At 45.4% G+C, this 19,134-nt stretch overlaps 1 long non-coding RNA gene across 1 annotated transcript in view, besides 2 other annotated features; it reads right to left on the bottom strand.

Annotated features, from left to right (window-relative positions):
- Positions 1 to 19,134, bottom strand: part of ZBTB44-DT (ZBTB44 divergent transcript) — an 88,665-nt gene that overhangs the window by 12,672 nt on the left and 56,859 nt on the right. The gene's annotated exons all lie outside the window — the stretch shown is intronic.
- Positions 6,964 to 7,508: an enhancer, noted in NCBI's record as "OCT4-NANOG-H3K27ac hESC enhancer chr11:130253373-130253917 (GRCh37/hg19 assembly coordinates)". NCBI's record gives its function as "activates a minimal SCP1, AML or CMV promoter by ChIP-STARR-seq in primed H9 embryonic stem cells {active_cell/tissue: H9 hESC(primed)}" and the evidence as "EXISTENCE:reporter gene assay evidence [ECO:0000049][PMID:30033119]".
- Positions 12,231 to 12,746: an enhancer, noted in NCBI's record as "OCT4-NANOG-H3K27ac hESC enhancer chr11:130248135-130248650 (GRCh37/hg19 assembly coordinates)". NCBI's record gives its function as "activates a minimal SCP1, AML or CMV promoter by ChIP-STARR-seq in primed H9 embryonic stem cells {active_cell/tissue: H9 hESC(primed)}" and the evidence as "EXISTENCE:reporter gene assay evidence [ECO:0000049][PMID:30033119]".

The following is a 19,134-nucleotide window of genomic DNA, read 5'->3' as shown; positions in this document are numbered from 1 at the left end:
ACCACATCTCTACAAAAATTAAAAAACTTAGCTAGATGTGGTGGCATGCACCTGTAGGCCCAGCTACTTGAGAGGCTGAGGCAAGAGGATTGCTTGAGCCCAGGAGGTGGAGGCTGCAGTGAGCCAGGATTGTGCCACTGCACTCCAGCCTGGGTGAAAGAGTAAGACCCTGTCTCAAAAATTGTAAAAAAGAGACATATCAACCAATAGATAAACATTGATTCAGCAGTGTCCGGCTTCCTTCCCCTGCCTGCATATCCACCACTCAGCCTTCTCAATGTTAATGCAGAGCAGCTGGCCAGCTGCAATTACCTGAGCAGACTGTGGCATTCAACACCCGGACATGGTGCTTTATCAGCCGGACACTTGACGTTTAGCTGGCACAAATCTGGGTAAATGCCAAATTGAGATCTGGCATCTGCAAAGCTTTGGCCCAGGACTGAGACTGAAGGTGATTGATGGTTCTGTAATTGTATAGTTAGGAAACCCTGAGTTTAGGAACATGAGTGACGCGTCCAGAAACAATTAAACCATTGGTCAGGGAGTTGCCCTGCTTCTTGCGTTCTTTGAAGAATAACTTAGCTATGTGTTACTCTGAGCATAAACATTACACTGACCTTGATCCAGGAATTTAAACAGTGTCATGTAATGTAAACACTACAAATACCTTCTTGCTGAAATCGTCTGTTTTCAGGATGGGTTAGGGTTTCTTCTCTTCAAAAGTACTTTGGGGCACTGGATTTAAAATTCACAGTCAGATCTGCATTTTTCTCCCATTTACATTGCGTGGCCTTCAAGCATTCTCACCAGCTTCTAAGGTTGAGGGAGCCCTCTACTGATGGCACGGCTGTAATTTCACAGCACATAGCAAGGAAAACTGGATGACGTCTAAAGAACTCCTGGATCTGAGAACGGTAACCAGTCTCGAAACCTAGAGCAGACAGAGCTCTGTTTCTAGAGCCTATGAAAAGCCAGGCTCTAGAAACATCCTTGGTTTCCTCAAACTATCCACATTATTTCAGGTTTTATACTTTCAGGCAATAGAAGAAAGAAAGGTCTGAAAGGAAAGTCGTGTTCTATGTATTGAAAGCCTACATATTTCTGTGTGCACATGCACACGCATGCCCCTATACACATGTGCATGCACATGCACACACACACGTATGCGTGCACTTCTGCTTTTACAAATATACACACGCCTACACATACACTTACATACTCTGCAATTGCAGCATCATGGCCCGCTATAGGAAGACTTTGCTCTGTGTGTGCGTGTCCTGGAGGAAAGGCGTGGGAGGTACATAAGTATACATAGAATTCCAGAATTGTGGGACTGGATGGAACATTCACCCTTTGTGGCATGTTCAGAGGACAACTCTGACGAGGCCACAGCTTGAGAAAAGAATTCTCCCCAGCGGCTGTGGCCTTGATGCTGGAGGTTAACAGCTTAACACCAGGGTGTGGTACCCAATTCTGAACTCAGGAAATTAATGACGATAAGGGTGGGCTGCCTGCCAAGGCCCGCGGTGTGAATCCCAAGAGAAGCACCTTCTATTTTGAGACCTCCTCCAACCACGGCATGCTGTCCTCTGCTCTCATGCACGTCCCACCTCTCTGTCTGTGTGCTGCTTTCTTCGACTCTTTTATTCCTAAACTTTCCTGGGTTTCCAACCCATGGACAGTGAGAGCAACTTATTTCCTTGCCCATTGATTCATCAAAAAGAATAATCATGTGGTATTAGGAATCAAATACCTGACACAGATGTCAATAGGAAGATGTCAATGGTATAACTCTTCCCTTGCCAAGAACATCAAAGGGAAGAGAGGGGAAATGGCAAACAGAGGATCAAACTAAGGCTGGACAAAAGGAGATAAAAGCACAATAATGTTCTCTTCCTTGAGAGGGCTCCCCTGGAAAGGAAAAGTGAAAGCACAGTCTCGCACCACATCATATAACCGACGCTACCAGGTAACCGCACACGCCAAAGGAGCCAGCCCTGGAAAATCAAAAGATCAAAAGACACCACTCCTCTGCTCAAAAACCTTCAGTGACTCCCGTTGCCCGTAGAAAATCTACAGTCTTTAAGAGGACATTCAAGGTTCTTTGCTTTTCCTGCCACAGTTCCTACCCACCCCCAACACGTGTAGCTCACTCTCATGTTAGCCCGTAGACCACTGTCACCTCATGGCTTTCCTGCTACTGTTCCTTTCTTCTCTGTGTGTGTGGGGCCTACCCATCCTTCAAGAGTCAGCTCAGATGTCACCCTCTGCATGAAGCTTTCTCCAGCTCTCCCAGGCAGAATGTATTTCTCTATCTCCTGTGTACCCAGAGGATTTTGTTTATGCCTTCCGCCCCCACCACCATAACACTTACGGACAGCCTTCATAGTTGGGTCTCCTCTACGTTTATACATTGTGGTCAAGCCCACATCTTACTCACGTTTGCATCTCTCTTGAGTTCCCACCCCGACCATGTCACTCCATGCCCACCACTGATCCTTCTCTCCTCATTCCGCATCCTCATTCTTTCTGCCAGGGACCTACCATAGCATCTCCCATACAATCAATTCTTAATATTGTACATTGCCTGTTCCATGAAACTAAATTAACACCTAAGATTAGGGGAAAATATAGTTCACTCCAAAGACAGAAAAAAGGTAAGTGAGATATTGTGTCAGATCCTAAGTAATACAAAGTCTCCAGCATGGGCAACATAGGGAGATCCCATCTCTACAAAATAAAAACATTTTTTTAAAACCTAGCCAGGTGTGATGGTAAGCACCCATGGTTCCAGCTACTCAGGAGGCTGAGGTAGGAGGATTGCTTGAGCCCCAGGAGATTGAGGCTGCAGTGAGCCATGATGGTGGCACTGCACTCCAGCCTAGGTAACAGTGCGATACCCTGTCTTAAAAAAACAGAAAAGGCCGAGTGAGGTGGCTCATGCCTGTAACCCCAGCACTTTGGGAGGCTGAGGCAGGTGGATCACGAGGTCAGGAGTTCGAGACCAGCCTGGCCAACATAGTGAAACCCTATCTCTACTGAAAATACAAAAAAATTAGGCAGGCGTGGTCACAGGCACCTGTAATCCCAGCCACTTGGGAGGTTGAGGCAGGAGAATCGCATGAATGCTGGAGGCGGAGGTTGCAGTGAGTGGAGATCGCACCACTGCACTCCAGCCCAAGCGACAGAGTGAGACTCCATCTCAAGAAAAAAAAAAAAAGAAATAAAGAAAGAACTCTCATTTGTCAGTTCCAACATGGCTCGTCTAAAAGCTTCTCAAGGCTGGGTGCGGTGGCTCAAGCCTGTAATCCCAGCACTTTGGGAGGCCGAGGTGGGTGGATCACCTGAGGTCAGAGGTTCGTGACCAGCCTGACCAACATGGTGAAACCCCGTCTCTACTAAAAATACAAAAATGAGCCAGGCATGGTGGTGCACCTGTAGTCCCAGCTACTCAGGAGGCTGAGGCAAGAGAATCACTTGAACCCAGGAGGCAAAGGTTGCAGTGAGCCGAGATCGTGCCACTGCACTCCAGCCTGGGCAACAAGAGCGAAACTCCATCTCAAAAAAATAAATAAATAAAGTAAAAGCTTTTCAAGGTTTTGAATCCCTCCCCGTTTCAGGGCCCTGCCTTCTACAGGTGACCATGGCGCACTGAGACCAACTTTCAACTTTTGAGCAACTGTGAATTAAAGACCTCCCCTTCCTCAAGACACTTTAGTGTGGTCTGCTAGAAATTTGTCATAAACACTATCCAAATATGCTAGGAGCAGGAGATGAGTGACACCTCCTGGGGTTGTACAATGAACAGCCCTAAGTGGCCTTAAGAATACTAAGTTGAACACAACCAGTCAGTGTTTGTCCTTCAAGGTGGGCACCACCGTGGTGCACGGACCTTGGAGTGTGAGAAATCTGAGTTAACATCTTGGATAACCATCCTAACCATTAGCTTCCAGGCCTCTAAAATGTAGCTCATCAAAAAACCTCTTCACAGGGTTACTTTTAGGATTACACAAGATTTTAAATATCGAGTGCTTAAGGACTCACAACAAATGTTCAGTCAGTGAAAGCCACTATTATTACAGCAATGCTCCTAAAATTCAATACATTTCTGAAAGGCATCTTTCCAAATTACCGTCAAAGCCCTTTTATAAGCCACATGCAAAAATCATGGGTTTTCTGTGTGTGTGTGTGTGTGTGTGTGTGTGTTTCTTGCTTTTTTTAAGACAGAGTGTCACTTTGTCGCCCAGGCTGGAGTGCAGTGGCGCCATCTCGGCTCACTGCAAACTCAGCCTCCCGGGTCCAAGCGATTCTCCCTTCTCAGCCTTCAGAGTAGCTGGGATTACAGGCATACACCACCACATCTGGCTAATTTTGTATTTTTAGTAGAGATGGGGTTTCACCACGTTGGTCAGGCTGGTCTCAAACTCCTGACCTCAAGTTATCTGCCCGCCTCAGCCTCCCAAAGTGCTGGGATTACAGGCATGAGCCACTGTGCCTGGTTTATTGCTTTTGCTAAAATGATATTATTGTATCTGAGTCTCCATTTTATTAATCAGATATAGCTAAAATGATATTTAGATGTTTATAAAAGTCAAATTTGTTGTTTTAAAAAAAAGGTTTGCAGCCACTGACTATATGTTTCAGTTACTTAAAGAATTCCAAAGGCATTGGTCAAAACCAAAATTTTTTATAAAAAGCATTCACATCTTATACAAATATCCCAGGTATGCCAGGCATGGCGGCTCACGCCTGTAATCCCAACACTCTGGGCAGCCAACGGGGGGTGGATTGCTTGAGCCCAGGAGTTCAAGACCAGCCTAGGCAACACAGCAAAACCTGGTCTCTGCAAAAAATACAAAAAAAATAGCCAGACATAGTGGCAAATGCTTGTAGTCCCAGCTACATGGGAGGCTTAGGTAGGAGGATCTCTTGAGCATGGGAGGTCAAGGCTGCAGTGAGCTGAGATCACACCATTGTACTCCAGCCTGGGTGACAGAGTGAGACCCTGTATTTAAAAAATAATAATAAATAAATATATATATCTCCCAGGCATTCTCCACAATATCTAGCAGAAAGTTAGACACAGTTGTTCCTTCCTTAATACAAATTATCAACTACATATTGAGGGATGATAATTGTAAAAATCAGGTCTTCTGAGTTCATAGCATAGAATCCAAGAAACCTACAGTTTTGGAAGTAACCCAACCTGTAAGGTCAGTTAAACTGACATTCTGGATGGCTCCAGGGGATGTCAGGAGAGTAACATTCTCTGGGTTCCCTTCTGGACCTGAGAATAACTTTAATTACTACTTCATATTCCAGTGTTCCAGTGCTTAGCCAGAGAATGTCCTTGAAGGGTCACTTGATTCACTAATAAATACTGCCAACTCTGCTTTTTCAAGGGTGGATTATGATTAATTCAATCAGCAAGCACTTTCCAACCCCTCTCATGTGTAGAACAGAACACTTGACACTGTACGAGTTACCAAGCACATAGCACATGCATGACCCCTGACCTCACGGGGTTTCCAATCTAGGGGAGACTAGAATCTAGAATTCCAATCTAAAATCTTTCAATTGTAGTCAGTATATACAACAATAAAGTATGGATTATGATACAATTACTTGTTGACAAAATAGTAGAAATAATGCGTGCTATAGAAAGACACCTGTGGATGAGAGTCGTTATGGAGGCCCTAGAATCAAACTCAGCCCCAGTAGACAGAAAAGCTTTCACTAGGCAGAGAGAATGGGAGCCAATCTAGGCAAAGAGACCACTACAATAATGACAAATGGTACAAGGCGCATTGGAAAATGGAAAGTAGACCAATCCACTTACATAGAAGTTAAAGTAAGGGTGCAGTGGTTATAAGATCAAAAAGACAGTTTGGAGGCTGGGCATGGTGGCTCTCATCTGTAACCCCAAAACTTTGGGAGGCCAAGGTGGGTGGATGCCTTGAGCCTAGGAGTTTGAGACCACCCTGGGCAACATGGTGAAACCCCATTGCTACAAAAAAATACAAAATTAGCTGGGTGTGATGGCGTGCACCTGTAGTCCCAGGTACTTGGAAGGCTGAGATGGGAGGATCACCTGAGCCTGGGGAGGTGGAGGCTGCAGTAAGCCATGATTGCACCACTGCACTCCAGCCTGAGCAACAGAGCAAGACCCTATCTCAAAAAAAAAAAAAAAAGAAAGAAAAAGAAAGGTAGTTTGGGACTACATTGTGAGGAATCTGAATGGCAGAAGCAGGAATTCATACTGTATCCTGTATAGACTAGGAAGTGATGCTCTCACATGGCACATTGTAGAAAGTTGGGCAAAGATACAGAAATGCTGAACAACTGGTTGTTTTTTGTTTGTTTATTTGTTTTTAATCGAGAGAGAGTCTTGCTCTGTTGCCCTGGCTGGAGTGCAGTGGTCCGATCATAGCTCATGGCAGCTTCAACTTCCCAGGCTCAAGTGATCCTACCGCCTCAGCCTCCAGTGTAGCTGGGACTGCAGGCAAATGCCACCATGCCCAGGTAATTTTTGTATTTTTTGTAGAGGTGGAGTTTTGCCATGTTGCACAGGCTGGTCTCAAAGTCCTGGGCTCAAGCAATCCGCCTGCCTTGGCCTCCCAAAATGCTGGGAGTACAGGCGTGAGCCACCGCGCCTGGCTGAAATGCTGAACTTTTAATGGCCCTTCTTGGTTCATGGCCGAGAACAAAGAAAAAGAAAAAAAGATCAACCAGCTCTTCTGACATCAGCTCTGTAGTCAAAAGTATTCACAGGGGAGTGAATCTAAATCTTCTGGCAAAAAAAAAAAAAGACTACAACTTGGGGATTAGCTGTCCACTTCAGCCTTCCATGTGCACTCTGGCCTGTCTGACCCAGAGTCATCAGCAATGAGCAGCTGAAGCAGGAAAAGCAGCAGAAACTCAGAGCTGCGGTGGCTGGAAAGAAATTGTTCCTGGCAGTGAAATCTGCCCCATCTATGCCTGGGATCAAGCAGTGGGATTAGGTGGTTTGCTGGGCCCCACAGCATGGTCTGCGGTGCTGTCAGCAGCCTTTAATGAAAACATGACTGTGTAGCACGCAGTGGTGGCCGGTTTATGTGCTAGATATTAAACGCAGGCTTACGCATCCCTCTATTTATACATGCACCCAGACCTGCTGGATAACTGCCATTCCATTCAAGGGAGGTGAAATAAGACCCTCCTGTGCAGCACACTGAGACACACAGCACACATTCCTGGAAGCAGCAGGCAAGAAAGAATTTGACCTCCAACCACAAAAAGGAATCCCATAGGGGAAACCACACAGTGGCCTAACAGACCACAAACAGAAATCCATTTCAGAGTGTGGAAAGCTAGTCTTGGTGAAGTAGTAGGTGGGATTTTGAACAAGTCACACCAAGTTAGAAGCACAGGAAGGCAACACAAAGGGCACAGCGGGCACCACCTGTCTGCATTTGCATCAGCTTCATTGTCAAACGTCAGTCTTGACAAAATCCTGCCCTTGGGAGACCACCTAGGTCTAACTTCATTCCCCAACTCATCGGGCTCATCTGCCAACAGTCCTTCCCCAGAGACTGACGGTTTCAACCCAAGCAGAAAAGCAGACTGCAGAGGCCAACAAGGTGGGTTGTGTGGGAACTTGCTAGACTGAGTTTGACAGCCCCTACCAAGACAAGCGGCTGGCAGCTTATGCTGACAAAATTCACTGCTACATAGCCCTTTAGTTCCAAACCACCCACCTCCTGTTGCTTTCTGATTCCCCACCTGTGAGCATCTATAGACAGACCATGTTTTATTTTCTTCGTCACCTCTTTCCTAATGCTTTCCCAGATTACCGGAACTGAATGTTTTCTTTTTTTTTTTTTTCTTTTTTGAGACAGGGTCTCACTCTGTTTCTCAAGCTGGAGTGCAGTGGCACCGTCTCGGCTCACTGCAACCTTGACCTCCCATGCTCAAGGAATCCTCCCACCTCAGCCTCCTGAATAGCTGGGACTACAGGTGTGTGACACCATGGCCAGCTAATTTTTGTATTTTTTGTGCCAATCAGAAAATCTTTGAATCCACCTATGACCTGTAAGCCCCACCCCACTTCAAGTTGTCCTGCTTTTCCAGACCAAACCAATATATACCTCACATGTATTGATTGATGTCTTATGTCTCCCTAAAATGTATAAAACTAAGCTGTGCCCAACCACCTTGGGCACATGTTCTCAGGACCTCTTGAAACTGTGTCTCAGGCCCTGGTCACTCACAGTTGGCTCAGAATAAATCTCTTCAAATATTTTACAGAGTTGGGCTCTTTTCATAGAAAATGTAATATGCCCTCAATGAAAACCTGTTGAGTGAACGAATGTACAAATCAATGAGTACATAAAGCAATAGTGAATGAGTGAATGGATGGTTAGATTGTCAGTATTGCTGAGATTTAAAGAAAAGGAAAGTCACTCCAGATATTGATCAGGTTGAACCTCTTGCCTTTACTTAGGTTAGTCATTATTTAGTCTTATTTTACAGAGGAGCCAACCAAGGCCAATGTGGACTAAACACCTTGAAAAGGCCATAGTGCTCATCTCCTAATGTAGAGCTCTTTACTCTATACCATTCTGCACAATACTGCTATCTGGTTTGGGTGGTTTCAGTATCTGGTACATATATCATGGGATTACCTTCAAGAAGACCAGGAAAAATACCCTACTTCTTTTTATCCTCTTCTTATTAACCCCTTCTTAATTTCTTGTCTTTATAGAGAGCAGAGATGAACATATACTTATAACAGGAAGACGCTCGACTCTGTTGTTGTTGTTTGTTGTTGCTGTTGCTGTTGAGGTAGAGTCTCACTCTGTCGCCCAGGCTGGAGTGCAGTGAGTGGCTAGATCCTGGTTCACTGCAAACTCTGCCTCCTGGGTTCAATCAATTCTCCTGCCTCAGCCTCCCAAGTAGCTGGGATTACAGGCGCCCACCACCAGCCCAGCTAATTTTCGTATTTTTAGTAAAGACAGGGTTTCACCTCGTTGGCCAGGCTGGTCTCAAACTCCTGACCTCAAGTGATCCACCCATCTCAGCCTCCCAAAGTGCTGGGAATACAGGTGTGAGCCACTGCACTAAACCAGAAGATGCCCCCACTCTATAAACAAGGCAGACATGGTCCAAACAAGTCCAAAATGCAAAAGTCTTTCAACATCAAACATAATTCCCAGATTTGAGTCCACAGACATGGCAAGGAGGAAACTTTTATCAAAAGAAATTGCCAAATCGTGGGAATGTGAGAAATGAGTCCATCACAGGTGCTTCATCAGTTCAGCTGGCAGGGCCGGGAAAATAGCTGCCTGCAAGTATACCTGTCTCCTCTAGCCAAACCACCACCAGGATTTCCATGGCAAGTAGCTCCCTGGACTTGATTCAGAGCCTACAAATGGAAATTCTCAGGGCAAGCCTAGCCTTCTTGCCGCTGGCAAAGTGCCACAGAAACGTTGCCACCCCCTCCTGGGCTCCACCGGAGACACAGGCATCAAATGGAAAGAGCAGAGCTTCTAAGGACACAACGGACTCAGGCTTGGTAGTGGCCACAGGCCTCAAGCAATGCAATCGCCACCACTAAACATGCCCGTTCTGATGCTGCAGGAAGAGTGAAGCCTGGGCTCCAGGGAAATTTCTGGCAAATGTTCTCACAGTTTGATTTGTGAAAACAGCAGTTCCTGATAAAAGCTTCAGAAAGAAGATAGTAGCTATTAACACCTCTTGGGCTGAACCCTGCAAGTCCTTTGACAGTCTTTCAGCATGTTAGACAAAGGTGTGCAGAAAGTTAGAAAGATTTACTGGATGGTGGGGGTGAGAGAGCAGCCTGGAGGCAGGAGATAGTTCTCGCCCAGCCTTTGTAAGAGGTCAAAAGCTAAATGGTTTTCTGCCTTTATTTCCGTAACTGTAAAATAGGGGTGACCCAGGGTTTGGACTGTTGTGCTTGTATGTAAAATGCCTAATCTACATTCTGTGAGTGTAGGCCAGATGTCCTCAAGCCCCATCAGCCTGGGTGGGGCTCAGCCCTCGTCAGCAGAAGACTTCCTCATACCCTGCCTTTCTGGTTCCAGGAGCCCCCAGGCACCCCACGGGTGCTCTGGAAGGGTGCTGGAGCCTCTCTCCAAGGGCCCCCAGGACACTGCTCTTCGCATGGCTGCACCCATTGGTGCCCTCCTCTGAGCCCCACAAACACTGGTGCGGTGCTCCAGTGTGCTGCTCCAGTGCGCTGCTCCGGCACCCACCTCACTGAAAGCAGGAAATCTGCTCCTCCTAGTTTGTATTACATTCTCAGGCCGTGGCGCCCAGCAAGACCAACTGAGGTGCTCATATTATAGACCCTTGAGTGAAGCATCTGGCCAGTTTATGTAGTTCATGAAAACTGAAGAATGATGAGGTTCATGAACTTGGGGAAGGAGAGCTTCATTTCTCATAAAAGGTTGTGGCCTACAGGGTGACCATTTGGACAGGCCGGGAAGCACAGCCTCCATCCAGAAGCCAGAAACAGGCACTTTGCTGGGCAAGGTGGCTCACACCTGTAATCCCAGCACCTTGGGAGGCCAAGGTGGGCAAATCACTTGAGGTCAAGAGTTCGAGATCAGCTTGGCCAACATGGTGAAACCCAGTTTCTACTAAAAATACACAAAATTGGCTGGTCGTGGTGGTGGGCACCTGTAATCCCAGCTACTCGGGAGGCTGAAGTGGAAGAATTGCTGGAACCCGGGAGGCGGAGCTTGCAGTGAGCCAAGATGGTACCACTACACTCCAGCCTGGGAGACAGAGCAAGACTCCGTCTCAAAAAGAAACAGAAACTCCAAGGGTCAGAAATATAAAACAGGGATTTATGCTGAATGGGGTGGCCACCTATATATATTCAATAAGCTATAGGAGGAGTCATGAATATTCATGAAAGGAGAAACATGCACATGCACAATTGAGCTTCATGCCTCTCCACAGGACCCATGTTCAAAAGATGGTGGCATTACCATGATCCATTGATGGAGTATTCAGCCCTCTGATCAAAAGGTGAAGCAGAGGACATGAAGACCCTCACTGTACATCCTCCATAGACTGGCCAGAACCACTCTGTGGTTGCTGGTCTCTGATCAGTAAGGAAGATCGGTCAGTTGTTGTGTTGAAACTGCAAAAGGGAGGGTCAGAAGTCAGTGGTTGGTGGAAATCAGTGATACTCTTCTGAAAGGGCCAGTTTCTGTTTAGCCCTTAGGGAAGAAAGCCTAATGGTTGTTAGTGAGGGATGGGATACAATGAGGCATTTCTGAGCTTCCATCCCATCATGGCCAGGAACTTAGATTTCAAGGTCTCTCTGGGGTCCCCTTGGCCAAGAGGGATTCCGTTCAGTCAGTTGGGGAGCTTATATTTTCATTTTTACTTCTCATTCTTTAAGGTTCCCTGAAGCGTTGGGGTAAAAGACCATTTGAAAGGCATTTCACCATGCATGTGGCAGGCACCCCTGACAGCAATAACTTCACTGAAGCATGACTCTGTGAATGACTCTGCGGTCTAAGAAGAATGTGTGTTCAGAGTCCCAAGCTAAGGGATCCAGGAGCAGCCAACCAGGAGATCCACTCCTAATCCACGAAGGACATCTGAACCTTTGGCCTGTCACTTGGAACACAGGTAATACAGGGGATCAAGTCCCTTTTTGGGGGATTAAATGGAGGTTAGTAGGTGACGGTTGCTAGGTGGAGGATGCTATGTGAAAATGCTGTATAAACTGCATGCTTTTTTACCAATAGTAGTGGTTGTCCTGTCCAGCCCACTGCGAATAGACCATCCCTGTATGTAAGTTCCCCCAAATAAACCCTATGTCTCATTGGCTGTCTCTAGATCTTTTCTTTGGCCTCTTGGACATGATGCCATCTCTATTGGAGTCAATAGGGGTCTAGTATGACACTATGTTACTGCAGTGAAGTTCAAACTTTCCCATGATGGTTCAAGTCTAAGTCTATTGAAATCAATTGATAGTACACAGATTGGCCAGGCGTGGAGGCCCACTCTGTAATACCAGCACTTTGGGAGGCTGAGGCGGGCGATCACCTGAGGTCAGGAGTTCAAGACTAGCCTGACCGACATGGCAAAACCCCATCTCTACTAAAAATACAAAATTACCTGGGCATGGTGGCGGGCGCCTGTAATCCCAGCTACTCGGGAGGCTAAGGTGGGAGAATTGCTTGATCCCAGGAGGCGGAGGTTACAGTGAGCCAAGATCACGCTATTGCACTCCAACCTGGGTGACAGAGCGAGACTCCGTCTAAAAATAAATATATAAATAAATAAATACACAGATTAACAGAGGAAAAAAGGCATACAATTTTTTTGTTGTTATTTTACTTTGTTTCTGTAAGGTATACAATTTTATTAACATGCATAAACACTGGGGGATCGCAGGAGAATGGTTACCATAACCCAGTGAGATACAGATGCTTCTGCACCCTTCTTCGTAGGTGGAGGGAGATGCAGAATGCAGGCCATGCATCTGAGGGGTAGTAAACAATGGTTAGGGAGAATGAATGGACCCGGGAGACAGAGATTAACTTGTAAATGATTCTTTTTGGAATTCAAATGAGCCACAGAGGCAGACGTTATCTTGTGAAAAAGTCAACCAGGTGTGGTTGCATTCCTCAGTCTTTTCTGCCATAGATAATAAGATTTCAGGGAGGGGACGGAAGGCAATTGTGTTTTCTTTGGATGGTCCAGTACTTTTTCTTTTTTCTTTTTTAATATTTGTAGAAATGCGGTCTCACTATGTTGCCCAGGCTAGTGTCAAACCCCTGACCTCAAGTGATCCTCCCACTTCAGCCTCCCAAAGTGCTGGGATTACAGGCGTGAGCCACTGCACCTGGCCAAGGGTCAAATCTTAAAGTAGATAAGAGAATATCAGAGCATACCATCTTTCAGTGTCTGCTTACTTTCAAGGACCTTTCATTTAAAATAATCAGCATGCTAGAGTGCCATGTTTGGAGGCAAAATTTCCCAGGCTCCTTCATTACACTCTAATGTGTCCTTATATAGATGAGAAAGATATTTTTTAAACATAATCACTATACTTTCATCATACATAACAAAAATAATAATTCCTTAATGTCTTCTAATACGAATCCATATGCATATTTCCTTGATTTTCTCAAATTGTGTTTTTATTGTTGATTTGCTCAAATTGGGAGGGAAACAAGGGTCTCACATAGCATTTGTTATCTCTTCTCAGTCTATTTTATCCCAAAAATCCACCCTCCCTTTTTTTCTAATGCCATCTTGGTTGGAGAATAATGCATAATTATTGGAGAAAAACTGGGTCATCTTTCCAATGGAATGTCCCACCTTTTTGATTTAGCTGACTGTATTCTTGTCATTTAAGTCATTCTTCTGTCACTCATATTTCCTGTAAACTAGTAGCAAATTCTAAAGATGATACAATCAGGTTCAGTTGTTTAGGCAAGAAAGTATAAATGATGTTTCCTGTTGCATTACACCATGAGGCACATAGTGTTTGAGCCGCCCTACTTGTAGGGAGGCTAAGATTGATCATAGATTGATCATGGGGTATAGGTGAGGTCAGCCCGGCCCTTCCATTATAATGTTCTCTATCAATATTCCAGCCAATAGTTTTAGCCTCATTATTGAATGTTGCCTTGTTGCCTAGATCAAGTCTTTCTTTCTTTCTTTTTTTTTTTTTTTTTTTTTTGAGACAAGTCTGGCTCTGTTGCCCAGGCTAAAGTGCAATGGCAAGATCTTGGTCCACTGCAACTTCCATCTCCCGGGCTCACACCATCCTCCTATCTCAGCCTCCCTAGTAGGGACTTCAGGCATGCGCCACCACACCCCGCTAATTTTCATATCTTGGGTAGAGACGAGGTTTTGCCATGTTGCCCAGGCTGGTCTTAAACTCCTGACCTCAAGTGACCCTCCTGCCTTGGCCTCCAAAAGTGCTAGGATTACAGGCATGAGCCACTGCACCCAGCCCTAGATCAATTATTTCATTGGAGGTAATTTTTTAAAAATCTGTAATTTCTCCTGCATTGATAAGTTGGAATTCTATATAGGCAGGAACTACTTTTATCAACTACTTATTTTTCTAAAATATAGTTGTCATAGGAAAGGTAAAATAAATGCTTTCTCATTATTCATTCATTTTCAGAATAATAAACCCCAACCGTAACCTCCAAAGACAAGCCATTAGGTTGCTTGGCTTTATGATTATTTTTAGGAATCATTGTGAAGTCATGATTTTTATGTATTTGATAGGTTTTAATCCATTGTATTACTACTATCCTTTTTGATGCAGAAATTGCCCCACTTCAGCCAGTGGGAACCCATTCAAAGTGGGTCCTCTGCTGTTTCGACACGATCCCAAGTAGTCTCAGAGTGCTTCTTCACTTCCTGGCAAAACAAGTTCTCCAATGCTCATCATGTGCATATCTTGCCCCAAACCTGGAACCAGCCATTTCACCAAGGGAAATGGGATTTAGAGATCTACCTCAGGATTTGTGTTTTTTTAATTAAGCTTTGCAAACATAATTGAGACTTCCTGTGCAGACATCGCCCAGGTTTTACTGCCCTCCCTTTTTCTTTTTATTTCTTTTATTTTTTGAGATGGAGTCTCAGTCTGTCACCCAGGCTAGAGTGCAGTGGTGCCATCTCGGCTCACTGCAACCTCCACCTCCTGGGTTCAAGCGATTCTCCTGCCTCAGCCTCCCAAGTAGCTGGGATTACAGGCACCCGTCACCATGCCCGGCAAATTATTTTGTATTTTTAGTAGAGACGGGGTTTCACCATGTTAGCCAGGCTGGTCTCTAACTCCTGACCTCAGGCAATCCACCAGCCTCAGCCTCCCAAAGTGCTGGGATTACAGGCATGAGCCACTGTGCCCAGCCTACTTGTAGGATTTTTAACCCACCTGTTATGTAGGACAGGGTTCTAATTTTGTGTTTTTCCATATGGATAATTGATTTTCCAAGCACCACGTATTAAACAGTTCATTATTTTCTCATTGATTTTTTTTTTTTTTTTTTTTGAGATAGAGTTTCGCTCTGTCACCCAGGCTGGAATGCAGTGGCATGATCTCTGCTCATTGCAACCTCCATCTCCGGGGTTCAAGAAATTATTTGCCTCTGCCTCCCGAGTAGCTGGGATTACAAGTGAGCACCACCATGCCCGGTTAATTTGTGTATTTTTAGTAGAGATGGGAGTTCACCATCTTGGCCAGGGTGGTCTTGAACTCCCGACCTCATGTTCCACCCACCTCGGCCTCCCAAAGTGCTGGGATTACAGGCATGAGCCACCACGCCTGGCCAATTTTTAATTCTATCTTTATCATATAGTAAATGTCCACATCCATGTGAGGATGTTCTGGGTTCCTATCCTATTCCATTGACTTATTTTCCAATTCTTGCACCATCCCACTATGTTCTTATTTCTATAGTTTAAATAAGTCTTATGATGTCACAGAACAAGTCCCACCATCTTCTTTTTAAAAATGGAATTTAGTCTTCTTGGCCTTTTGCTCTTCCTCAGAGTCTCCCAGAGCACGAAGGACAGAGAAGACAGTATCTAACATCTGAGAACTCTAAAGGATGGGGGACTGGCTGGTAGTCGCTCTGAGGGCAGTACTACCCTCAGCAAAGAGAGGCACTGGGGAATTTCCACGTTCCCAGAGTTTATCTGAGCAAAGTATGAAAATATCTTCCATGGGCCAGTTGTGAGCCCTAAGAGAGTGTTTGCCATTGTAAAGTTTCCTAGATCCAGCTAAGAGGACCAGCTTCTAGAAAACTAGAGCTATGCTGAGGCAGGAGGATCACTTGAGGCCAGGAGTTTGAGACCAGCCTGGGCAACATGGCGAAACCTCGTCTCTACCCAAAATACAAAAATTAGTCTGGTATGGTGGCATGCACCTGAAATCCCTACTAAGGAGACTGAGATAGGAGGATGGTTTAAGCCCAGGAGGTGGAGGTTGCAGTAAACCAAGATTGTGCCATTGCACTTCAGCCTGGGCAACAGAGCCGAACCCTATCTCAAAAAAAAAAAAAAATACTGGAACTAGAACGAGAGCTAAACACTGAGCTGCTAAGGGAAGACTTAGAAAAGATGCATTCTCCTGCAAGAATGAAATGACAGGTGAGAGATTCCCAAAAAGGGAGGGGCCAGGTGGTGGGTGGAGGGACATGATCTCAAAAAAAGTTCACAAAGTGCTCCATGCTACAAAAAGTTAACTTTAAACTTCCGCCCAGCTCAGGGAGTTCTAATGCCAGCTCACGTCAGTGCTGTGCGAGTAGGACCTTCCTGTTGCCCCCTCTCCCTTCCGTTTCTTTTTTTTCAGACGGAATCTCCCTCTGTCGCCCAAGCTGGAGTGCAGTGGTGCAATTTTGGCTCACTGAAACCTCCACCTCCCGGGTTCAAGCGATTCTCCTGCCTCAGCCGAGAGGCAGCTACTCCCGAGTAGCTGGGACTACAGGCACATGCCACCACGCCCAGCTAATTTTTTGTATTTTTAGTAGAGACGGGGTTTCACTGTGTTAGCCAGGATGGACTCGATCTCCTGACCTCGTGATCCACCCGCCTCGGGCTCCCAAAGTTCTGGGATTACTGGCGTGACCCTGTTTCAACCTATAGGAGTCAGAGGCCACCTAAAGAATTCATGGGTAGGAGGAGAAAACACCACTGAGGAAGACAGATGAGACACATACCACACCCTCCATTCCCACTGCGGGCTCTCCGCCCGCTGCAGGCTCAGGTAGGGGCCAAGATAACTTATGCTTTGTGATGTTGGAAGTTTTGACAACTACCTGGGACATATATCTTTTTCTTTTCTTTTTTTTTTTTTTTTTTTTTTTGAGATGGAGTCTCGCTCTGTTGCCCGGGCTGGAGTGCAATGGCGCCATCTCGGCTCACTGCAACCTCTGCCTCCTGGTTTCAAGTGATTCTCCTGCCTCAGCCTCCCAAGTAGCTGGGATTACAGGTGTGCACCACCATGCCCAGTTAATTTTTGTATTTTTAGTAGAGACGGGGTTTCACCATGTTGGCCATGCTGGTCTTGAACTCCTGACCTCAAGTAATCCACCCGCCTCAGCCTCCCAAAGTGCTGGGATTACAGGCGTGAGCCACTGTGCCTGGCCTAGATATCTTAATCCATGAACTGAGACTGGTTTTCATGGTCAGAGGACTTTTTATTCAGAGTGGCCAGAAAAGTCAGTGACACCTGGCAGAGATTTCATTCAGAGACAAGAAAGAACTTGCCATCTATTCAGCTTACAAGTGTGGAGGACACGGTGGTTCACGCCTGTAATCCCAGCACTTTGGGAGCCTGAGGTGGGCAGATTGCCTGAGGTCAGGAGTTCGAGACCAGCCCGGCCAACATGGTGAAACCCCATCTCTACTAAAAATACAAAACTTAGTCGTGGCCTGTAGTCCCAGCAACTCGGGAGGCTGAGGCATGAGAATCTCTTGAACCTAGGAAGCAGAGGTTGTAGCAAGCCGAGACGGCGCCACTGCACTCCAGGCTGAGCCACACAGCAAGACTCTTTCTAAAAACTAAAAACAAAGAAAACCCAAGTGCAATCACAGGAGAAAAATAATACTACTTCATGATTATACCCCAGGAATCCTATTTATTTATGTAAAGTACTGGCTACCCACTATTTTTAATACACTGCTTAACTAAATTTGCTAATATTTTATTTAGGATTTTTACATCTACTTCTTTCTTTCTTTTTTTTTTGAGACGGCGCCTCGCTCTGTCACCCAGGCCGGAGTGCAGTGGTGCGATCTCGGCTCACCGCAAGCTCCTCCTCCCGGGTTCACGCAGTTCTCCTGCCTCAGCCTCCGGAGTAGCTGGGACTACAGGCACCGGCCACCACGCCCGGCTAATTTTTTTATAATCCTTTAATCTCTTTAATTCACGCATCTGTCCTTTGTATAAAGAGGTGTTTTGGTGAACCCACGTTGCTACACCAATGACATTCCACAGTATTAACACTAGAATGACTGAAGTCACATTCATCAAATATACAGGAAATATCAATGGCTCACGAACTGATTATTCTTCTGGCAAGTTAGGGTTGGGTCTCATATTATCAAACTAATTTTTAATGCCTACTAAAACTCATACTTAATAGGAAGACAACCTATAATTAAAACTGTCCCTTGTTAGGTGGAGAGCAAAGACTTATTCACACTGAATCTCCCATGCCTTGTATAGCACTAGGCACAGAATGGCATTCAGTGTTTTGAGAATGAATGAATGGTCTGCCTCTTGTCTTTGATAACAGTGAATATCTTGCTAGGAACACAGGGGCATGTAACTTTTACTTATCAAACTCTACAAGTTGCATTGAGAATACTCAATCATGAGCATTAATTTGAGAACAGTTAGGAATGAAAGTGGAGTCTCTGGGGCACTTGCCTCTGTTCGTGGCATCCTGTGCAATCTTAGCCAATATCAACCTTTCCAATGCCTGGCTAATTTTTTTTGTATTTTTAGTAGAGACAGGGTTTCATCATGTTAGCCAGGATGGTCTCGATCTGCTGACCTGGTGATCCACCCGCCTTGGCCTCCCAAAGTGCTGGGATTACAGGCATGAGCCACCGTGCCCGGCCTGCATCTACACTCTTAAGTGTGATTAATAGATTACTTTCTTGTTCTTGTCAGCTTTAGAATCAAAGTTATACCAATTTTGTAAAAAGATCTGGGTAGGTTTTCCCCTTTTCTATGCTCTGAAACAGTTTGTATAATATAAGGACTGTATGTGTGTTGATGATTTTGTAAAATGTGTCTCTGAAACCGTACTTGTCTCTATGACTGGCAACTTCAGGGGACAAGAGAGTGAATAAATAATCTGTAATTTCATTTCAATACAGATAAATTATCAATTGCCTGGAAGCTCACAAATGAGTGGGAGCACCATTATCCCCCCTATTGTGGGATACTCTTCTCACCTCAGGCACCATATATGGCCCTGGGCTCATGATTGAGTAAGAATACTAGTGTTGTCCGGGAGCGGTGGCTCACGCCTGTAATCCCAGCACTTTGGGAGGCCCAGGCGGGCAGATCACGAGGGCAGGAGATCGAGACCATCCTGGCTAACGAGGTGAAACGCCGTATGTACTAAAAAT

This window comes from Homo sapiens, chromosome 11 (genome assembly GCF_000001405.40).
Source record: "Homo sapiens chromosome 11, GRCh38.p14 Primary Assembly".
In the NCBI taxonomy this organism is placed as follows: Eukaryota; Metazoa; Chordata; class Mammalia; order Primates; family Hominidae; genus Homo; species Homo sapiens.
This window is presented reverse-complemented; position numbering and strand designations above follow the sequence as displayed.